General features: G+C 34.0%; 1 protein-coding gene across 10 annotated transcripts in view; it reads right to left on the reverse strand.

Annotated features, from left to right (window-relative positions):
• Positions 1–20,095, reverse strand: part of VPS54 (VPS54 subunit of GARP complex) — a 127,279-nt gene that overhangs the window by 52,647 nt on the left and 54,537 nt on the right. For all 10 annotated transcript variants that reach the window (XR_007076389.1, XM_017004316.2, NM_001005739.2 and 7 more), the window contains 3 exons: positions 17,262–17,647; positions 4,241–4,367; positions 2,587–2,694 (listed from right to left, as the gene is read on the reverse strand). Coding sequence is in view for 9 of the 10 variants with exons in the window: in XM_017004316.2 (XP_016859805.1) it covers positions 2,587–2,694; positions 4,241–4,367; positions 17,262–17,647 (621 nt within the window). In the remaining variant the exon portion in view is untranslated. The remainder of the gene's footprint in view (positions 1–2,586; positions 2,695–4,240; positions 4,368–17,261; positions 17,648–20,095) is intronic.

Genomic DNA, 20,095 nt, shown 5'->3' on the forward strand with positions numbered 1-20,095 from the left:
TAACTGATCATTAGAGAAATGCAAATCAAAACCACAATGAGATACCATCTCACACAAGTAAGAATGGCTATTACTAAAAAGTCAACAATAACAGGTGCTGGCAAGGTTGTAGAGAAAAGGGAACACTTATACACTGCTGATGGGAGTGTAAATTAGTTCAACCATTGTGGAAGACAGTGTAGCGATTCCTCAAAGACCTAAAGAGAGAAATACCATTCAATCCAGCAATCCCATTACTGGTTACATACCCAGAGGAATAAAAATTGTTCTATTATTAAAGACACATGCACACTTATGTCCACTGTAGCACTATTCACAATAGCAAATACATGGAATCAACCTAAATGCCCATCAATGATAGACTGGATAAAGAAAATGTGGTACACGTACACCATGGAATACTATGCAGCCATAAAAAAAACAATGAGGTTATGTCCTTTGCAGGAACATGGATGGAGCTGGAGCTCATTATCCTTAGCAAACTAACACAGAAACTGAAAACCAAATACTGCATGTTCTCACTTGTAAGTGGGAGCTAAATGATGAGAACACACAGACACATAGAGGGGAACACCACACGGTGGAGACTATTGGAGAGTGGAGGGTGGGAGGAGAGAAATGACCAGAAAAATAACTAATGGGTACTAGGCTTAATACCTGGGTGATGATATAATCTATACCAAAAAAACTCATGTCACATGTTTACTTACATAATAAACCTGCACATGAACCCCTGAACTTAAGATAAAAAAAAATTTTAAAGGCTCTTACTGGCTACAATAATTATTTTACCAGATTTTTATCTCTTATGTATCTCTCACAGTGTTTGAAAAGCTGATTACAATTAGCCAATTAAATAATTATTTCAGAGTATGTTTGAATTGTAATAATTAAAATCACCTAATATTCAAAACTGTTCAAAATCCTACACCAGAAAAGCAGAACTATAATACTTAGGAACAAGGTGTAAGCCCCATATTAAAATCCCAAAAGAAATTAGTATTAGAAGTTACATTTCCTTGTGATACATGCAACAGTTTAAAATTAAAAAATAAATGCTTAGATTTGAAGTCTGGGAATTGAAACATACCAGTTTTTAGAAATTGCTTAAAATATATATACAGAAAATTGTACAAATTATGTTTACAGCTCAATATTTTTGTACAAATGGAGTACATCTGTGTAATCAGAACTCAGCTCATGAAACAACCTTGCTAATACCCAGAGCTCCTCCCCTATTCCCCTACCAGTTACTACTTCCTCCCAAAATATACTATTATCTTGATTTTTAAACCATAGAATAATTTTGCCTGCATTTGAGTTTTACATAAGTGGAATCATACAATGTATACTTTTCTGTGTCTGGTTTCTTTGGCTCCACGTTATGTCTATGATATTCATTTGTTATTCTGTGTAATCTATTCATTCTCATTAATGTATAGTATTCCACTGTACAAATACATCAAAATTCTATTTATCCTTTCTACTGGTGATGGAATTTGGGCTGTTTCCAGTTTTTAAAATTACAAATAGTACTGCCAGGAACATTCTTCTGCTGTGTTTTGGTGAACTTATATACATATTTCTGTTGGGTGCATACCTAGGAATAGAAATGCTGGGTCACAACATGTATGCAAATTTGGCATTACTATATATTGCCAACAATTTTTCAAAGTGGTTGTACCAATTTAAAAATAGTGTTTTAATCAGTGCTTGAAAGAGGGGATGATTATAATTTTTTTGCTTATTTAACTTTTAAACTTAAACTTTAAAAACTCATATATGTACATTCAACCTAATGATAATAATCAATTAAGCCTAATAAATACCTTTAAAATCATATTATCTTTTTCATATATTAAAAAACTGAAGTTCAGTGGATAAGATTTATCTGACTAAAAAAAGTCAAAACAAAGATCAGGGAATACTGAAAAACACATGGATTCTAGTTTATAATTTCTTAGAGATTAGGATAAAAAGGAAATGAACATTTGTCTACTGCTGATGGGAGTATAAATTGGCAAATCTTTTTAAATAGGAATTAAATTCTATACATCAAATAACTTAAAAATACTTTTCACTCTCTAACCAATACTTCTAGGAATCAGTCTAAGAACAAACATTCTTAAGTACGAAAAACAAACAAAATAACTTTATACCACAGATGTCTGTCACAGTGCTATTTATTGTATTAAATTATAAACAACCTAAATATTCAACACAGAGGAAAAGTTAAGTAGATTTAACATAATGTTAATGGGACTTTACACAATCATTAAAAATGATGTTTCTGAAAGCTTTTATAATAATATGAGAAACTGCTTATGATTGTAACTGAAATATATGTATAAAATCATATACACATAATGACAACATAAGAAAATCAGTCTACACGTGGAAATATTCCTATAGCAATAATCTTTTGGCTGGTAAGGCTATGTTTTACTTTCATTTTTCTAAATTTTCAGTTTTTACATAAATGAGCTATATTACTATTACACTATATATATTATTACTAGGATAACATAAAAATAAACTTCACAAAGGTTCCAGACCAAAATATGTCAAATAAAAATGCATAATTACCTGTTTAATGATATTCTTTGCTGTAATAACCATTTTTTCACCATAGATTTCTAAAAAATTAAGCTTTCTTTGTTTTAAAAGTCCAAATACAAGAGATATTAGTCTTTCCTGTTAAAATAAAAGTATGTAACTTGACATTTTAAATATGAAGTAATTTTACTTAGAGGTAGAAATATTCAGCATCAAGAGTTCTGTTTGATCCTCAGATCTCTATCCTGCACAAAGTATTTTCTAGCAGCCTGAAAACCCCTCCCACAGCAATCTTATCATGAGATTTTTGGAGTCAGTGCTGTAAAACAGATAAATCCTACCCCACCACAGTGAACCAATGAAGCTGGTTTTCGGGCAAAACAATACAAGGGTATTTTTTGTTCTAGTTTCAACAAGTAAAAAATATCCTTCTCACACCCTGATGACCAATAAATACTCCATGGGCCCTGTGGGTTTTTTTTGGTTTTTGCTTCTTTGTTTTGAGACAGCGTTCCACTCTGTTGCCAAGGCTGGAGTGTAGTGAGGTGATTACAGCTCACTGCAGCCTTGATCTCCCAGGCTCAAGTGATCCTCCCACCTCAGCCTCCCGAGTAGCTGGGACTAGAGGCATGCACCACCACACCTGGCTAATTTTTAAATTTGTTTTGTAGACTCACTGTGTTGCCCAGGCTGGTCTCAAATTCCTGGGCTCAAACGATCCTCTAGCTTCAGCCTCCTAAAGTGCTTGGATTATAGGCCTGACCCACTGCACCTCACCCATGCTTTGTAATGCATAGTCTAGAAGACTGAAATAATGACCTAGACTCTCACAGTGGGAAGTCAACTGCTAACATCTACAAAAGTTTCTTTACTTAGGCAGTTATCAGGGTTTCTGGGATTTTTTACTAGTTGTTGTCAGTGATTAACACTGAGAAGTTACCAGCTAAGTGAAGCCTGGATATTATGTATTTGTATATACATATATAAAAAACATGTTCATAATAGGTACTCAGTAAATTTGAATGACGGGTAATTACCATATGATAATGATCACTTTTTCGGTTTTTTTTTTTTTTTTTTTTTGAGACAGGGTCTTGCTATGTCACAATCATGGCTCACTAACAGCCTCAAACTCCTGGACTCAAGTGATCCTCTCGCCTTAGCCACCCAAGTAGCTGGGACTACAGGTGTGCATGCACCACTACACCCAGCTAATTTTTTTATTTTTCGTAGAGATGGAGTCTCCCTGTGTTGCCAAGGCTGGTCTCAAACTCCTGGGCTCAAGCAATCTTCCCACCTCAGCCTCTCAAACTGCTGGGATTACAGGCATGGAGCCAATGCGCCCAACTATGATCACTTTTTATAAAAGACAAGCTCCAGCACTCGCACACATAAACACAGAATATAAATTAATTCATCCTATATCTGTATTTTTAACTTGGTCTGTAAGCTCATTTTAACTCTAATTTCTAATTAAGCTATACAATTATTTTATTCTCTAATTCCATAGGATAGTGAACAATCATGGTGCTTGCTCAAGTCACATAGCTAGTGAAGGACTTCATAGGTCTGATAGCCCTTGAAATTTAAGATAATTTTGATTCCTATAATCTGAGAAAAATGTGTTCTAAGCCAAGACTGTTAAGCAATGGCATCAACTTCATTCCACAGTTAAAACACATACCTCTTCTAAAACTTGACAGTCATCTTCCAGTGGTCTATTTAAGTCACTGTGAGAATAAGTAGAAAATTCTGCAATCATCATTTTATCTATCAGTTTTTCTAATTCACAAAGCTGTGATCCCAAATGCCTAAAAAGGAAGAGAAAAATGTTATATTTATATTCACTAAAAACTACAAATTCGCTCCACAATCAAGGGAACTAGTAGGTAAAACTTTTTCAGTTGACAGTACCTGTGCAATAATGCAATGTTTTCAAAAAATGAAGTCCTTTAACTTACCAAAATAACTGCAAACATTTCATCTTCTAAATTCCATTTTTCTCTTTACAGTTGACCCTTGAACAACATGGGGGTTAGAGGCACCAAACACCAGTGCAATCAGAAATCTGTGTATAACTTTTGACTCCCCAAAAATTTAACTAATAGCTTATGTTGACCAGAAGCCTTACCAATAACATAAAGTCAGTGAACACATTCTTTTCTATATTATGTGTACCATATACTATATTCTTACAATAAAGCTAGAGAAAATATGGTACTAAGAAAATCCTATGGAAAAGAAAATACATTGACTATTGATTAACTGGAATCAGATCATCATAAAAGTTATCTTCACATTGAGTAGGCTGAGGAGGAGGAGGGAGAGGAGAGGTTGGTCTTGCTATCTTAAGGGTGGCAGAGGAGGTGGAAGTGGAGGCAGAAGAGGCAGGCACACTCAGTATAACTTTACCGAAATGCACTGTAATTTCTGACTTTACTTTTGCATTTCTCTAAAAATGTTTGTTTCTATATGGTACCAATCCTTCTTTCACCATTTGCTTTAGTTTCAGTGCCCATAGAAGAGTCCATGTCATAAAAGAAGTCAAAGGAAGTCTTGAATAATGGGAACTCTGCTGCCAGATTGTCTAATGTCATCTTGTTTTCTGGCACTGCTGCTTCTATCTCTTTTTCCTCATTGTCTGGCATTGGTTTGAGAACACTCATCTCCGTCAAGTCATCTTCTGTTAATTCCTCTGTTGTGGTACCTATTAGCTGTTGAATTTCTCCAAGATTCTTATCTTGAAATCCTTCATTCCTCACCCTTGTCACATCCACAATCTCTTTCATGATTTCCTTGATTGTCTCACAGCATCTGCACACAGTTTTCTCTAACAGGAATTTATTGTTTCGGGCTTTATGGTCTTCACAACTTTTTCTATAACAATGACGGCATCTTCAATGGTGTAATCCTTCCAGACTTTCGTGATGTTCTATCGGGGTTCTCTTCCATAGCACTGATAATCCTTTCCATAGAGTAGTGTGTGTAATGAGCTGTAAAGGTACTTATGACTCTCTGATCTAGAAGCTAGATTAGAGATGTTGTGTTTGGGGCAAGGAGATCATTTTAATGCCTCTGGTGCTGAATTCATGGGGTTCTGGGTGGACAGGGGCATTGTTCAACACCAAAAGTACTTTAAAAGGCAGTCTCTTATTGGCAAGGTACTTCCTGACTTCAGAGACAAAGCATTAATGGCACCAATCCAGAAAAAGGGTTCTCATCCAGGTCTTTTGTTGTATAAGCAGAAGACTGGCAGCTGTTATTTATCTTCTCCCTTTGAAGCTTGTGGGTTAGCAGCTTTATAGATAAGGGCAGTCCTGATCAGAAACCTGACTTCATTTGCACAAAACAGTAAGAGATAGCCTATCCCTTCCTGTCTTAAATCCTGGTGCTCACTATCTCTTCCTTGCTAATAAATGTTCTTTGTGGCTTTTTTTTTCCCCCAGAGTAGGGCACTTTTGTCTGCATTAAAACCTTTCAGGTAGATATTCTTTCTCCTCCATTATTTTCTAAATGGTATCCAGGAACTCATTTGCTGCCTCTTTGTCAGCAGAAGCTGCTTCTCCTATTATCATGACATTTTTTTAAGCCAAACCTCTAAAATTATCAAACCATCCTTTGCTGGCATTAAGTTCTCCAGCTTTAGATCCTTCACTTTCCTTTTGCTTTAAATTACCACTTGATATCTTAGCTTTTTCTCAAGTAATATTAGAGTCTATAGGTATGCCTTTCTCATAGTAAGCCTGCACCTGCATAAAATCTGCATTTTCAATAATGGATAAAAAGGTACTTGCAAAAAGAAAAGGTTTTTGTAAATGCTGTTGTAGCTGGAGTGAGGACTTCACAAATTTCCCTTTTTTTTTTTTTTTTTTTACAGTCATGGGCAACCACAACTGCAGACCTCAATCTACTATACACATCAAGGAATTAAACTTTTTACTGTAAATGTCATGACTTCTCTCTGCTTCTTGGGAGTACTTCCAGCATCACCAGTGAACTTAGTATGGGTCCCATGGTGTTATTTAAGGTGTATAGTATGTATTAAAGACAATAAAAACCATGCAAAAACTATAAGAGATCACCTTTTACTGTGATACTCAATTTACTGGAGAGAGGAACTGCTCAAACATAGATGACTAGCATCACTTCAGCTCACCACAGTAGCAACAGGAGGTGGTTATGAAATTATTACAGTGGTACAATATGTACCACAGTTAGTTTTCTGCAGTTATGATTTAATACTGCATGAGTGGGGCCATATACAGTCTGTGTGCAAGTTTGGATAAATTTTAACTTTTTAAATAGTGCTGTGTATATTTTATGGTAGTAAATGATAAAATAGACTAGTACCTACATATATTTTATGCATTCATGGCATATATATTTCTAGGCTATGTGGTAAGTTTTTTCAACTTTCACAAATCTCCAAAAACTTTTCCAATATATTTACTGAAAAAAAATCTGTGTATAAATGGACCCACAAGTCCAAACCCATGTTGTTCAAGGTCAAAGGTGTACCTTTAGCCTCCAAATAAATGTGTTCTAGAAAACCTGGTTACTGGGTACATTTATGATTGTTTTCCACAGACAAAATATTGACATTCTAAGTCCTTTCCTTATTAACTATTTACTGAATATCAATGGTGGTAGCTCCCTAGTCATTCATTTATTCAACAAACATTTGTGCCTACCCTGCGCTAGGCCCTGTTCTGGGTGCAAATAAATATCTGAAGGACTGTATGTACAGATGGACTCAATTCAATCTTTCTTATAATCAGTTTGAGTTACTGTGCAACATCGCTTAAGTCATTAAACTGAAAGTCATTGAAACACAAGACTGAAAAATGTAAGGATGAAGTACTTTCACATACAAAGGGATTTCTGCCATACTTTCAAATAGCTGTGTAAAAGCAATGAGCTAAAGAAGCCTAGATAACCTAGTTGGTCCAAAGAATTTCAAAACTTAAGTGAAAGAGTCCAATGGAAAATATGTTTATATCTCAGGGAAAAAAATGTTTTAAGCTCTATTTTGAGGGGCAGTTTTAAAACATTTAAATTTTATATTACATTAAAATTTAAAAAACATTTAAACTATATCCACACTACATTTACTTGAAAAACAAATCCTTAATACTGGCAACTATATTTACTAAGAAAGATGAGATATAACACAATTTTTAAAAAATTAGTTAAAACCATTTGACCTTTTGGGTAGATGCATTATTCTTGTTTTATAAACAACATATGGTAAGTAGGAGTAGTGATAATTATGAAACAAATCTGATAAGTGAAATAACATGTAAGTTTGCATCTTACAACAGGAAATTATATTTCTTATAGTTAATAGACTAAAAACGTTCTCATAAATGGCATCAATATCTTACAGTAGACTAATTTAGAATATTTCCACCAGTACAAACTAAAACATTGTCACAAGAGGAATTTGGCAGTATCTAGCAAAATCACAGAGGAATTTTGACCTAGGAATCTCACTTCTTAGAATCTGTCTCAAAGATGCATGAGCAAAAATACCAAAGAACATACATTAACTGCCCTACTGTTGATAACTGTAACAGAATAGAAACAACCCAAATGCTGACCAATGGAGAATGGTTGAATAAATCACAATGCATTTATTTTAAATAGATATTACTCACTTTTAAAAGAATTGATAAATACCTATACATACAGCTATAGAGCAGTTTTTTTTTCATTATTTCCCCTCTAGAAGCCTTTTCTAATCTCACACACACACAACCCCATGAAATTTTTAATTTTTTTTTTTTTTTTTTTTTTTTAGACAGAGTCTCCCTCTGTTGCCTAGGCTGGAGTGTAGTGGTGCAATCTCAGCTCACTGCAACCTCCACCTCCCAGGTTCAAGCAATTCTCGTGCCTCAGCCTCCCAAGTAGCTAGGAATACAGGTATGCACCACCACACCCAGCTAATTTTTGTGTTTTTAGTAAAAGACAGGGTTTCACCATATTGGCCAGGCTGGTTTTGAGCTCCTGACCTCAAGTGGTCCACCCGCCTTGGCCTCCCAAAGTGCTGGAATTATAAGCATGAGCCACGCTACCCAGCCACCCCTAGGAAACTTTAATGCCACAAATGTATTATATATCTGTTTATGTACTATGGCCCTTTGAAGGGTCAAAAACCATTGTTATATTCAAGATTTTTTTTCACCTTTCAAGAGTCAACATTTGCCCTCTTGCGGTAGTATCTCCCATTGAGAATGCATGCTGTAGCGCATGTACAATATCCAGAGTATATTTTAAGGTAAAAACAGCAAGGTGGAGAACAGTATGTACAGTGCGCTAACACTTATCTAAGATGAGAGACAGACAGATAGATGGATGGATAGATAGATACAAACTAAAACTTTTAAATGGCGACTTATGGTAGGGGTTGTGGGGGAGAAAAACTGAGGTCATACTGATACTTCCATTTAAATTCAAGACTATATGGTTTTCACTTCTTCAATCTTACATATGCGTCTCCTTTTAATCAGGCTGAAAACTGTGATTACTAATGACACTAACATAATTCCTCACTTGTTTTATCCCACAACATACACAGATTGTCTCAGAACAATATTATTAATACAAACAATATAGGACTTTTTCCTCTTCTTTTCCTTAAGATGTATCAAAGTCACTTAAAAAAGAAAATTATTTCCCAGTTCTGTCCACTACAAAAGCCTAGAAATAATGGCCAATCCAGTAGCAAGAACATGCCTACTACCCATATGGATTTCTAAATACTATTTCCTACTAAAAGAAAGTAGGGCTCCCTAGACAAATGGCAGATTACAGGTCTGGGGTAGGAAATGCATACTATAAACATCCTGTCATAACACAAAGTAAGAAAACTGTCAATAACTACTTAGGAAATCATGTCAAAAAGACTCAAGAATGAACTTGAGGAGGTTCCTACAAATGATAATTCAATTTGAACATTGATAAAAATTAAAAAGAAAGAACTTAAAACACTTTGCATATAAATCCATGTATTTATAATATCTTTAAAAATTCATCAGTTATCTTTGGAGGATGCTAGATTTCCAATTCGTTATTTTGAAAACAGCTAAATAAAGGAAAAGAATCTAGCATTTATCCTGTCTAATCTTGTAAGAATTGTCCTTCAAAGGGTGACCAAATAATTGTTATAGGGAAACATCAATTCATAGAAATATTCCAGTGAATAAGTAAAGAAAGTGGGATAGAATTAGAGTATCATAATTTGTAGCCCACAATTAATGATAAATCTAGACAGCAATTATTAAATGGCTGCTAATCATCAAAAGAGAGACTTTTCATGCTTCTTGACTGAAATACACACCACTGTCTATTAGGTGCTCTTGTTAAAAAGTAAAATTTAAAGCTAATCAAGCTTTTAAAACTAACTATCAATTACAGAGAATATAGGTGAAAAAATAACATGCTAAACATGGAAACATAGTTTACAAAATCCAAACTATGGGAAGCACTATAAGACAACCCAGTTTCTTCGATTAGTATTTTGAAAGAAAATTAGAATGGATAACTATGGATCAAAAAACACTTGAGACATATCAACCAATTGCAATATATAGATATTATTTGGACCCTGATTACAATAAACACACCATAAGAAAGAATTTTGAGACTAACAGGAAAATCTGAACACTGACTAGCTATATTTGAAAATATAAATGACATTAGAGTTATATTTTTAAAAAATCCTTATCTTTCAAAGATACCTAATGAAATATTTATGAATGAAACAAAATGTTCAGGGTTTGTTACAAAATAATACAGGATACAGATAAAACAAACTTTGCTTTGCATTGACAACTTAGATAAACAATTCATCTAGCTTCCTATAATTCTTTTCATATAATTTCCTTTACTGTTGTGTATGTTTGAGTATAAGTTTAAAAAAAAACAGTGACAGTGTAGGATATAAATTTAGACCTAATATTGCTTGGCTCTCAATTATTTTTATGAAGATCATTGATTCTTTTTTAATGCAGACTAGAGGTTAGCACTCAGGTATGTGTTACCTCAAGTATAAATAATCTTCAACAAATCTCCATAAAGAATTATGGTGGGAGGTCCATATGACTGTACCTACTGATATTTGGGCATCAAAATAATAAAACTTTCCCTCATTTCGGCACAACTTAAATGCAATGTTCTATTTGACCTTAGATATTATTTTAAACAACTTGAATAGCTTCATTTTTATGTATCCTTACAGTAATTTTAAAGTTCAATTATCTAATACAGGCTATATAATTAATTTAATAAAGAACCTCAATACTAACACCAAACAGTACTTATTTTATAATCACAGGTATTTTATATATGCAAGAATTTGTCTACACAAATCCTTAAATGCAACTTTCAGAACTATAATATTTTACAAGTTTCACCTATTCATCCTCAATCTATTCTTGTATATTCTTGGCTACTTTGACAATAGATGCAATAATAATGATGTATGCATTATTATTAACCTTAACAAAAATATTTAAGATAAATCTGCTAACACCTTGTTTTAAAAGTATGTATCCTAATAATCACATACAGTAATTTAGAGTGGTGAATCTACTGAAATGACAACTAAAATATCACTTTCTGAAAAATATATCCAGCTAAGTAAACTGAAACAATCCCAATACTTTCTACTTAGATATGCCTCAATTTGCACATTAATTCAGACCTTCTACTAAGCTGTATGTTCAATACAGTGACCTCTGTGCTGTTCTTATCAGAAAACCTTGTATATCAATAAACTCTGTAGAATTCTAGTTTCATCAAATAGTAAGAAGTCTGATTTCTTCATCACAAAACATACAATGTGGATGTTTTCTTACTACAATATTTTAAAATCTAAATTATAGGAGATTTAAGGTCAAATAACATGTTAAATACCTTTTGATACATCCAATAATAAAGATCCCTTAAATGGAATCTCACAGTGGCCACTGATCAATGAAATCATAATAAACTGGAATCTATAATAAACTGAGTGTTTTGCATCTTTTCTTTCAAAACAAAACAAAAAAAGGCTTACAAGTAGAAAACAAGCTAGCTGCAGTAATTTTTACGCCAAAATCCATTAATATGGTAGTTCCTGGCTGCTGAGCAAACCTATAGCTCAATTGCCCACAGTTTGTACAATCAAATTAGTATTGATGTTCAGAGTGATCTATTTGAGGCCCCATAAGATCCTCAAACAAATATATTAAAAAGCATAGCTCTCAAGCCCAGTGAGACCCAAGTTGAATCTCTACTGTACTGTTACTTAACTTGCTATATGACCTCAGTTTTCCTATCTGTAAAGTGTGGGTAACATTCCCTATCTCACAGTTTTTTGGGGAGTGGGCGATGTCAATATACTTAGCACAGTATCTGGTACAGAATACTCAAGTATTCAATATATGTCCTCTGTTGTAGAATGGCGGTGGTAGTAATCATGGTATGAAGTAGTAGGAATAGAGTGTTAACGACAATTATGAAAACTAAGAGTTTCTACACAAAGCTTTACAGTAAGAGCAAATAACGACACCACAGCCCTAAGTTTCAAGGTAACTAAAGATTTTCTGTATCAAAACCTGCAAGATATCAACATTCGAATGCATTCTTGGGCTCACGAGACTTATGTACTACATCTGCTTAAGCATTTGAATGCCATTAGCCTCAGCAATACTTTTAGTTAAATTAGTATATAAATGATATATATTGTTTCAATGATTATCATTTTTATTGGTAATAGATAGCAAAATTTCATTTCACATGTAATGGTTAAAAATATTTATATCCCGGCCGGGCACGGTGGCTCACACCTGTAATCCCAGCACTTTGGGAGGCCAAGGCGGGCGGATCACGAGGTCAGGAGATCGAGGCCATCCTGGCTAACACGGTGAAACCCTGTCTCTACTAAAAATACAAAAAATTAGCCAGGTGTGGTGGCGGGCACCTGTAGTCCCAGCTACTCAGGAGGCTGAGGCAGAAGAATGGCGTGAATCCGGGAGGCGGAGCTTGCAGTGAGCCAAGACTGCACCACTGCACTCCAGCCTGGGCAACAGAGCAAGACTCCATCTCAAAAAAAAAAAAAAAAAAAATTTATGTCCTAATAATTAAAATTGCCCAATTTTGCAACAATTCAGGTAGTACAATCATTCAAAATTTTTTAAATTTAAAAATTCTACAAATGTACAAAAGAATAATAATAATTATGAGTTATGCAATGAGTCAAAATTACCCTTCAAGTTCTGAAGAGGGGAAATCAAACTTGGAACTTATACAGATACATCATACCCCCAAATCCATTAGTAGAAACCTCTTTGAATAGAGACAGGAAGATGTGTTAGTTGAAAATTTCATTTTAGAAAGAACAAATGTATGTAGGAAGATGCTACCACTTTAATTACAAATCATGAAAAAGTTGAGTATCCAATAGTAGTTATAAACCAGGCTTCTCAATTATGGTGCACATTAGAATCTCCCAGAGAGCTTTCAAAAAAATACACATGCTCAAGCCTTAACCTCTAGAAAGTCTGACTTAATTGGCTTGGGTGAGGTGTGGCACACTTTTTTAAAAGCTCTTCTGGAGATTTTATTATGCAGCCAGGATTAAGAATTATAGTCATATAGATTATAAATGGGAAATTAGGGACAATGATTATAGACAGGAAAAAAAAAGAGTGGAATAAAGTGTCAAGATACATTTGGTAATATACTGAATAATTCACAGATTTCACAAATACATATTAAGATGTGTACAACATAGCTCTTGTCCAAGACATTTAAATTCAAAGCCCAATAGAAAGATTTAAAATAAAAACACAAACCATGACAAAACATGGTAGGAGACTGTAAAATTTCATTACAGAATATAAACAAGGTGTTCTGGGAGCTCAGAGGTCACCAAAAAAGTTTACATGAAAAATAATTTCAAAGTCAAAAAATACAGAAGGAATGAGAAAAAAGAAGACACACGTAAGCATTATTTGCTACTAATGACTAGAAAAAATGTGATGTTAGGTTAATAGTACACAGAAAAATGGCAGACAAATACAACTATTAAAATTCCTTTTTGAAAACAGAGATTTGCATTTGTGGTAATTTAACTACTGGAAAATTGTGGTATGAAAGTTCCCTTTAAAAGCAATAGAACCAGTCTGGGCAACACAGCAAGACCTTATCTCTACAAAAAAATTTAAAAATTAGCCTGGCGTGGTGGCACAGACCTACAGTCTTAGCTACCCAGGAGGCTAGGGCAGGAGGATCACTTGAGCCTAGGAGTTCAAGGCTATAGTTGAGCTATGATCGCACCATTGCACTCCAGCCTGGGTGACAGGGCAAGACTGCATATATATATTAAATAGAACATTTTAAAAAAGCAATACAAAGAACAGTATAGCCAAAAGCAAAACTTGGACTAAGATTCATAAAATGGAAAGACTATTAACAAATAAATTTAAAAGAGTCCTTTGCTTGTCCTACTGAAAGATTTCTTATTTCAAGTAAGACCCTATGGCTTAGTATATGGCCCACGAAATGACTAAAATATGGACTCTGATATAAAAAAGACAAAAACGTGTGAAATTCAAGTAGAATATTTCTTATTTCCTAATGGGAGAGTGTAATTATTTTAATAAACTAAGGAGAACAGCTTATAACCTAATGCTTATGTTACCATAAGAGATCTCTAATACATATTGTACTGGATAAAAATCAATCTATAAAGCGTCCAAAACTAATTCTTATGCTTCTAAATAAAGTTAAATGGTCTTAAAAACATCTGTGAAACTATATAAGAAAGTAACTAATGCTGATATTTAACAACCTTTAGCAAAAGGAAAGATAAAGTCAAGAAAGTAAATCATCATATAGGATTTGACACAAATTTAAAACAAAACACAAACAAAAGAATGGGGTTATAATAACAAGTCTTAAACTACTTCACGTATGATTCAGTATTCTTCCTTGACTATAAAAACATTTTCTTTTAGAGTACTTTTGTTTTTGAAAATAAATTGCTATATGTTTATTGGAAGTCAGAGACTCAAGTTCTGATACCAAACTTTTAAACAGTTATAAATATATTGGAACTGACATTTGATAGGAAACTTTACAGAAATGTTTTACATGAAGAAATAACACTCTTTACACATGTGGTTCTAAAAAAAAATAGAAAGATATTGAGCAAAATGTAGAAAATCAGAACATCTGAAAGTCTTTTTAAAAATCATAAACATTTTTGGCCGAGCATGGTGGCTAATGCCTGTAATCACAGCACTCTGCGGAGCCGAGGAAGGTAGATGGCGTGAGCTCAGGAGTTCGAGACCAGCCTGGGTAACACGGCAAGACTCCGTTTCTACTAAAAATAAAAATCAGGCCAGGCACGGTAGCTCACACTTGTAATCCCAGCACTCTGGGAGGCCGACATGGGCAGATCACCGGAGGTCAGGAGTTCGAGACCAGCCTGGCCAATATGGTGAAAACCTGTCTCTACTAAAAATACAAAAATTAGCTGGGCACAGTGGCGGGCACCTGTAATCCCAGCTACTCGGGAGCTGAGGCAGGAGAATCGCTTGAACCCGGGAGGAGGAGGTTGCAGTGAACCGAGATCGTGCCACTGCACTCCAGCCTGGGCAACAGAGCTAGACTCCATCTCAAAAAAATAAAAAATAAATAAATAAAAATTAGCTGGGCATGGTGGTGTGTGTTTTTAATCCCATCTACTCAGGAGGCTGAGGTGAGAGAATGGCTTGAGCTGGTGGTGGGTGGGGAGTTAACAGGGTAGCAGGGGACTGGGGGTGGGGGCAGAGGTTACAGTGAGCTAAGAGCGCACCACTGCACTCTAGCCTGGGCAGCAGAATAAAAACCCTGTCTCGAAATAAATACATACGTAAATAATAGACATTTTTAAATGAAGAATATTTTATACTTTGACTTAAGGTACAAACAAAAAAAGTAAGGTTGAAAACAAAGGTAAGCTCTTCCTTGAGCTCATAATAAATACAAGATTATAAAATTTTTATTCTGTAACCCAATAAATCATAAACTACTGAGAATAAATAAATATCCAACCCTCTTCTTAAAATTACTTTTCATGAGTATTGACCATAAACTTATGAGTCAAGGAAAGTAAAAGTAAACTGCATGAACTTTGAGGTAAAAATTAGAACAATTTGAGAATTTGTGTTTGCCAAGGCGGCATTCAATCTTTGATTCTATTTCTCAGCTCTGTACTATCTATGGGATACTGGCTCCCAATATTCATCAACACTCATGATATTATACAGTAAGTGATAAGTTAAAAACACAGCTTCTGTCATTATAGAAATCCATTTCTCTAAGGCAATGACAAAATTGACATTTATTGAAAAAATACATACGACATACAAATTCAAAGATAAATCCTTATAATTTCAAAGGTGAAGGAAAAATTAAAAATAATTTAGTTGCCCTGGGTTCCATGCTGGGGAATTCAAAGTAGACTTCAAAAAAACATGAATCACCCAAAATTGATTGCAAAATTTTATGTACAGGTATATTTTTGTGGAAAGATGGTCCAACAGTACCTTTCAATGGATTCTCAAAGAAGTTTGTGACTCAGAACGTTTTCTTAACCATCCAAGTCTGGATTAGGTTCCACCCCTAAGGTCAGAGCTCCACAGCAATCTTTCCATTCATCATACTATATTACACTATATCATAACTATGCAGTAATTTGTCTGCTTCCTTCCCCATGCCAAATAAATTGTAGAGACTTTTAGAGCACTGAACATCTCTACTTCATTCATGACTATATTCCCAGTATTCATTCTGTCTGGTACTTGACATGTAATAGGTGCTCAACAGCCATACCTTAACTGAATGAATCAATCAATTGTTCATCTAATTAAATTTGGTTTCAGCTTTAAAAATATATCCTAAACATTCCAATTACATATCTTCAGTCAATAAGATTTATAATTCAATTAAAATAAATGTATTTTGAAGCTAACTTTTCCATAATGGATTAAGTTACAGAGCACATCTTCCATAAAACTTTATAGTCACTTACTAGTACGTGGTTTGGATGGTTTTCCCAGCAGATATGAACTTCTACAAGGATACTGCAAGCCTGCTTAATGGAACGAAATTTTGATGGCTTGCAATTAGTCTATAAAATAAACACTTTGGAATGATTTCATATAAAATATTTAAAACCTAAGGTATTTTCAAAATAATAACAGGAGAAATTGGGTCTTTTCTATCACCATGTGGATTTCTTTTGCAATTTGATAAACAGACTGCAAATCAGAAATGAATTTTAATAATTATTCAATTTTAAATCTATTAAAGGCTTTCAACACAAACTTAATTTTAAATATGCTGGTATTCTCTCCACCTTGACCTACCATTGTGACACAAAGCTATTTCAACACTTTCAAAATGTTAATGTTGTGACTGGCCTTGCATTTATCTCATCTCCTAGAAATTTTAATTTTGCTTCTCCATCCAAATGTCTCTGAAAATATTATTCCTTATGGTTTTTGTTTTGCTAATACTACAATATCAGAATAACATTATTAAACAAATGATCAATCTGGAAGAAAAAATATCCATTTAACTTTGAATATATTCACACTTTTAACATTACATGCTCAATTTTATCCTTTAAAAATTTCTAACATTATTTCTAGTGGCTTACTTAATGAACATACCGGAAACTGTGAATGCCCTGAAGTTCCTGCTGTAGAACCTCTTGTGTTGTTGCTATTAAGTCCAATGCTCCAACAAATTCAGAAGTAGATAATAACACCTGTACTGTAGGCTGAGTCTGGTGTACAGTGGCCATTAACTTCAGCTTATTGTATACTTTAACACAATTATTTCTGGTAAGTGCCAGTCTTAAAATGTGGAGTGATCCTTCACACATTACTTTATCAATCTGTGCAATTTTATCTCGAAGCATTTTTACAGCCTGGGAAGTTTTCCTGAGGTAGTCCTGCAACTCGTGTTGAGAGGTCATTGCATGAAAAAATGCTTCTGAACGTAGAGAGATCTGGTGAGCAATGTTTACTTCCACAATATCCAGATAATGGCTCAGCTTAAAAGAGAAGGAAAAAAAATATGAAGTACTATGAGCATACCTTCCTTGATTATCCAAATACTTTATGACAATGATAAAAGATTTCTACATATACTTTAAATTCCATTGTGTGAATTGTTTGATTGTGAGATCCTTGAAATTGGGCACAACAAAATGGAAGGAAGATAAAGGGTACACCCCAAAGATATAAATGTAAGACAAAAGAGTACAAGGTCATTTACTTTCCTCCTCTGTTCCTGTCATTATCACCTTCCAAACACCAACTGCTTTCTAAAAGAGTACCCCACAGACATCTCAAATTACAATTCCAGTTTCAGATGTTCTAAGATCTGAGAGAAAGAGAATGATCTCCTTAGCCCCCAATATCATTGCACATCATTTATCTGACTAAATAGATGATTACACCTTCCATTTATTGACCTCCTCCTATGGATTAGGCACAGGTATTTTATACACATCTAATTTTTCTAATTTTAACAATCTTGAAATATAGGTAGTATTATTATCATTTTACAGATGAGGAAACACAGTCATGTAGTTACTAAGTAGCAAAACTAAAATGTTGGTATATCTCTGACTGAAAAACTGAAGCTGTTTCTATTATACCATTCTGCCTCAAAATGCTGAATAATCCAAGATAGACTGATGGTTCAGTCACAAATTATAGATAAGGTACTAAAATTCATTTGGATTTTTTTCAGGCTGCTTATTTTACATTTCAAAAGTGATTCTTTTATCAATTTGTAAAATTCAGTTTATTTCCAATGAATTTTCCTCTTAAAAGTTCGACAAATACCTTAAACAATTAGCTCATATATATTTTTTTAGTAGCATTACCAAGATTAATTCTTATGGTAATATATATTTAAAATGCTTTCTAAATTTCAAATATGGACTTCTAAAACTTGTTTTGCCTTTTCTTCCTTTCTAACTGCATATGCCTTTTTTGGCTATATTATCTTTCCATTATTCACCCATTTTTTTACTTTGAGATTTTTTAACCCACAGCTCAGACTTCGGGCATTATCTCTGAATGTCTTGGGATAATTCATAGTTTCAAAGGGTTAATGAACTTTCAACATTTAGGTCTCATAAGATTAGAAGAGACTATTTGGTCATCAAATCTGTTTCCCTAAGGAAACACAGAGTATCATTCATATCTTCAATAATGCTCCTTCAATAATCTTACAATATCTAAATAGGTTACAAACAAGAAATTTTTCCACAGTTTAAATCTTGAGTTTATGCCCTTTTGCTCTTTCATCTTCAATATGGCTGTTCATTTATTCACTAAAAAAGCAAAATGGGCACAAATATACTAGGGTAAATTGCAAGGTAACATGGACTCAATTCCCAGAATAGTAAATGGAGAATAGATAACTTTAGGACAGTGCTACCCAGAATGTGATTTATATGCTGCTGCCAATCTGTGGACTGTTTAACAGGGCCATAATAAAATAAAGAATTTTGCTAGAAAGTAAATCAACTACATCATTAAGCACACTGTATTTTTTTCAGACTTTCTTAATGAAGTAAGCAGTGCAGTGATTTGCATTCCAGTGCAAACTCCTTATTTTACTGCAGACCAGCACTTTGCACAGTACAATAGAATACAAATTTCTTTAATTCTAGTTATAGCATCCTTGCTCTTAAAAGCGAACATGATAAACCAGCTGTTGTCCATCATAAAAGGAGTTTCAAAGTGCTCTCTTGGAATCCTGTCTTCTATTCCTATTCTAAGAACAGAGCAGAACGAAAAGGAGTCAGAATGTAAATATAGCAAATCTGATTCTGCAATTTACAAATAAAAAAAATTTCCATTATTTTAGTCACTTTAAACATTCAGCATAAGAAAAGCATTTGAGTCTCAAAGATTTTTTGAATTTTCAATAATCCATTGATTTACTCTTTTCAAGGCATAACATTTTTATAGTTTACTTCCTATTAAAATGCTATAAAGGAAATAATTTTTAAATTATCTGTATTAAAAGTACCTGTATACATTGATGAGACTTTTACTGGCTTTTGCTGTTTTTCTCTTTTTAAGGTATTATTCTCTCAGGGCATATACTTAGAATATGAAAGCCTGTGTCATGAGCAAGCCTGTGTCTCTAAACCCATGGTTTTCGTCAGATTTATCAATTTGTTCTTATGCATGGAAAAACCTTTTTATAGGTGACAATGTTGCCAAAGGAAAAAGCTCATTTTCGTTTTCAATTGTGAGAAAAGGAATACTCATGATTCCTTCCCCACATTTCTTCTTCTCTCCTCCCCAAGCTAGTCTTTTCTTCAGTTCCTGATGAGGACTGAACCTGATATTATTGATGTCTTCCTGAGACAAGCTTTCAGATTGCCAGGGGATATCACTAAAGTAAAACAAAATCACTACTTCTCATTTTAAGAACTACCTTCAGTTTTAGACGAGCTCTAAACTGAATGCTAAGA

This window comes from Homo sapiens, chromosome 2 (genome assembly GCF_000001405.40).
Source record: "Homo sapiens chromosome 2, GRCh38.p14 Primary Assembly".
Lineage (NCBI taxonomy): Eukaryota > Metazoa > Chordata > Mammalia > Primates > Hominidae > Homo > Homo sapiens.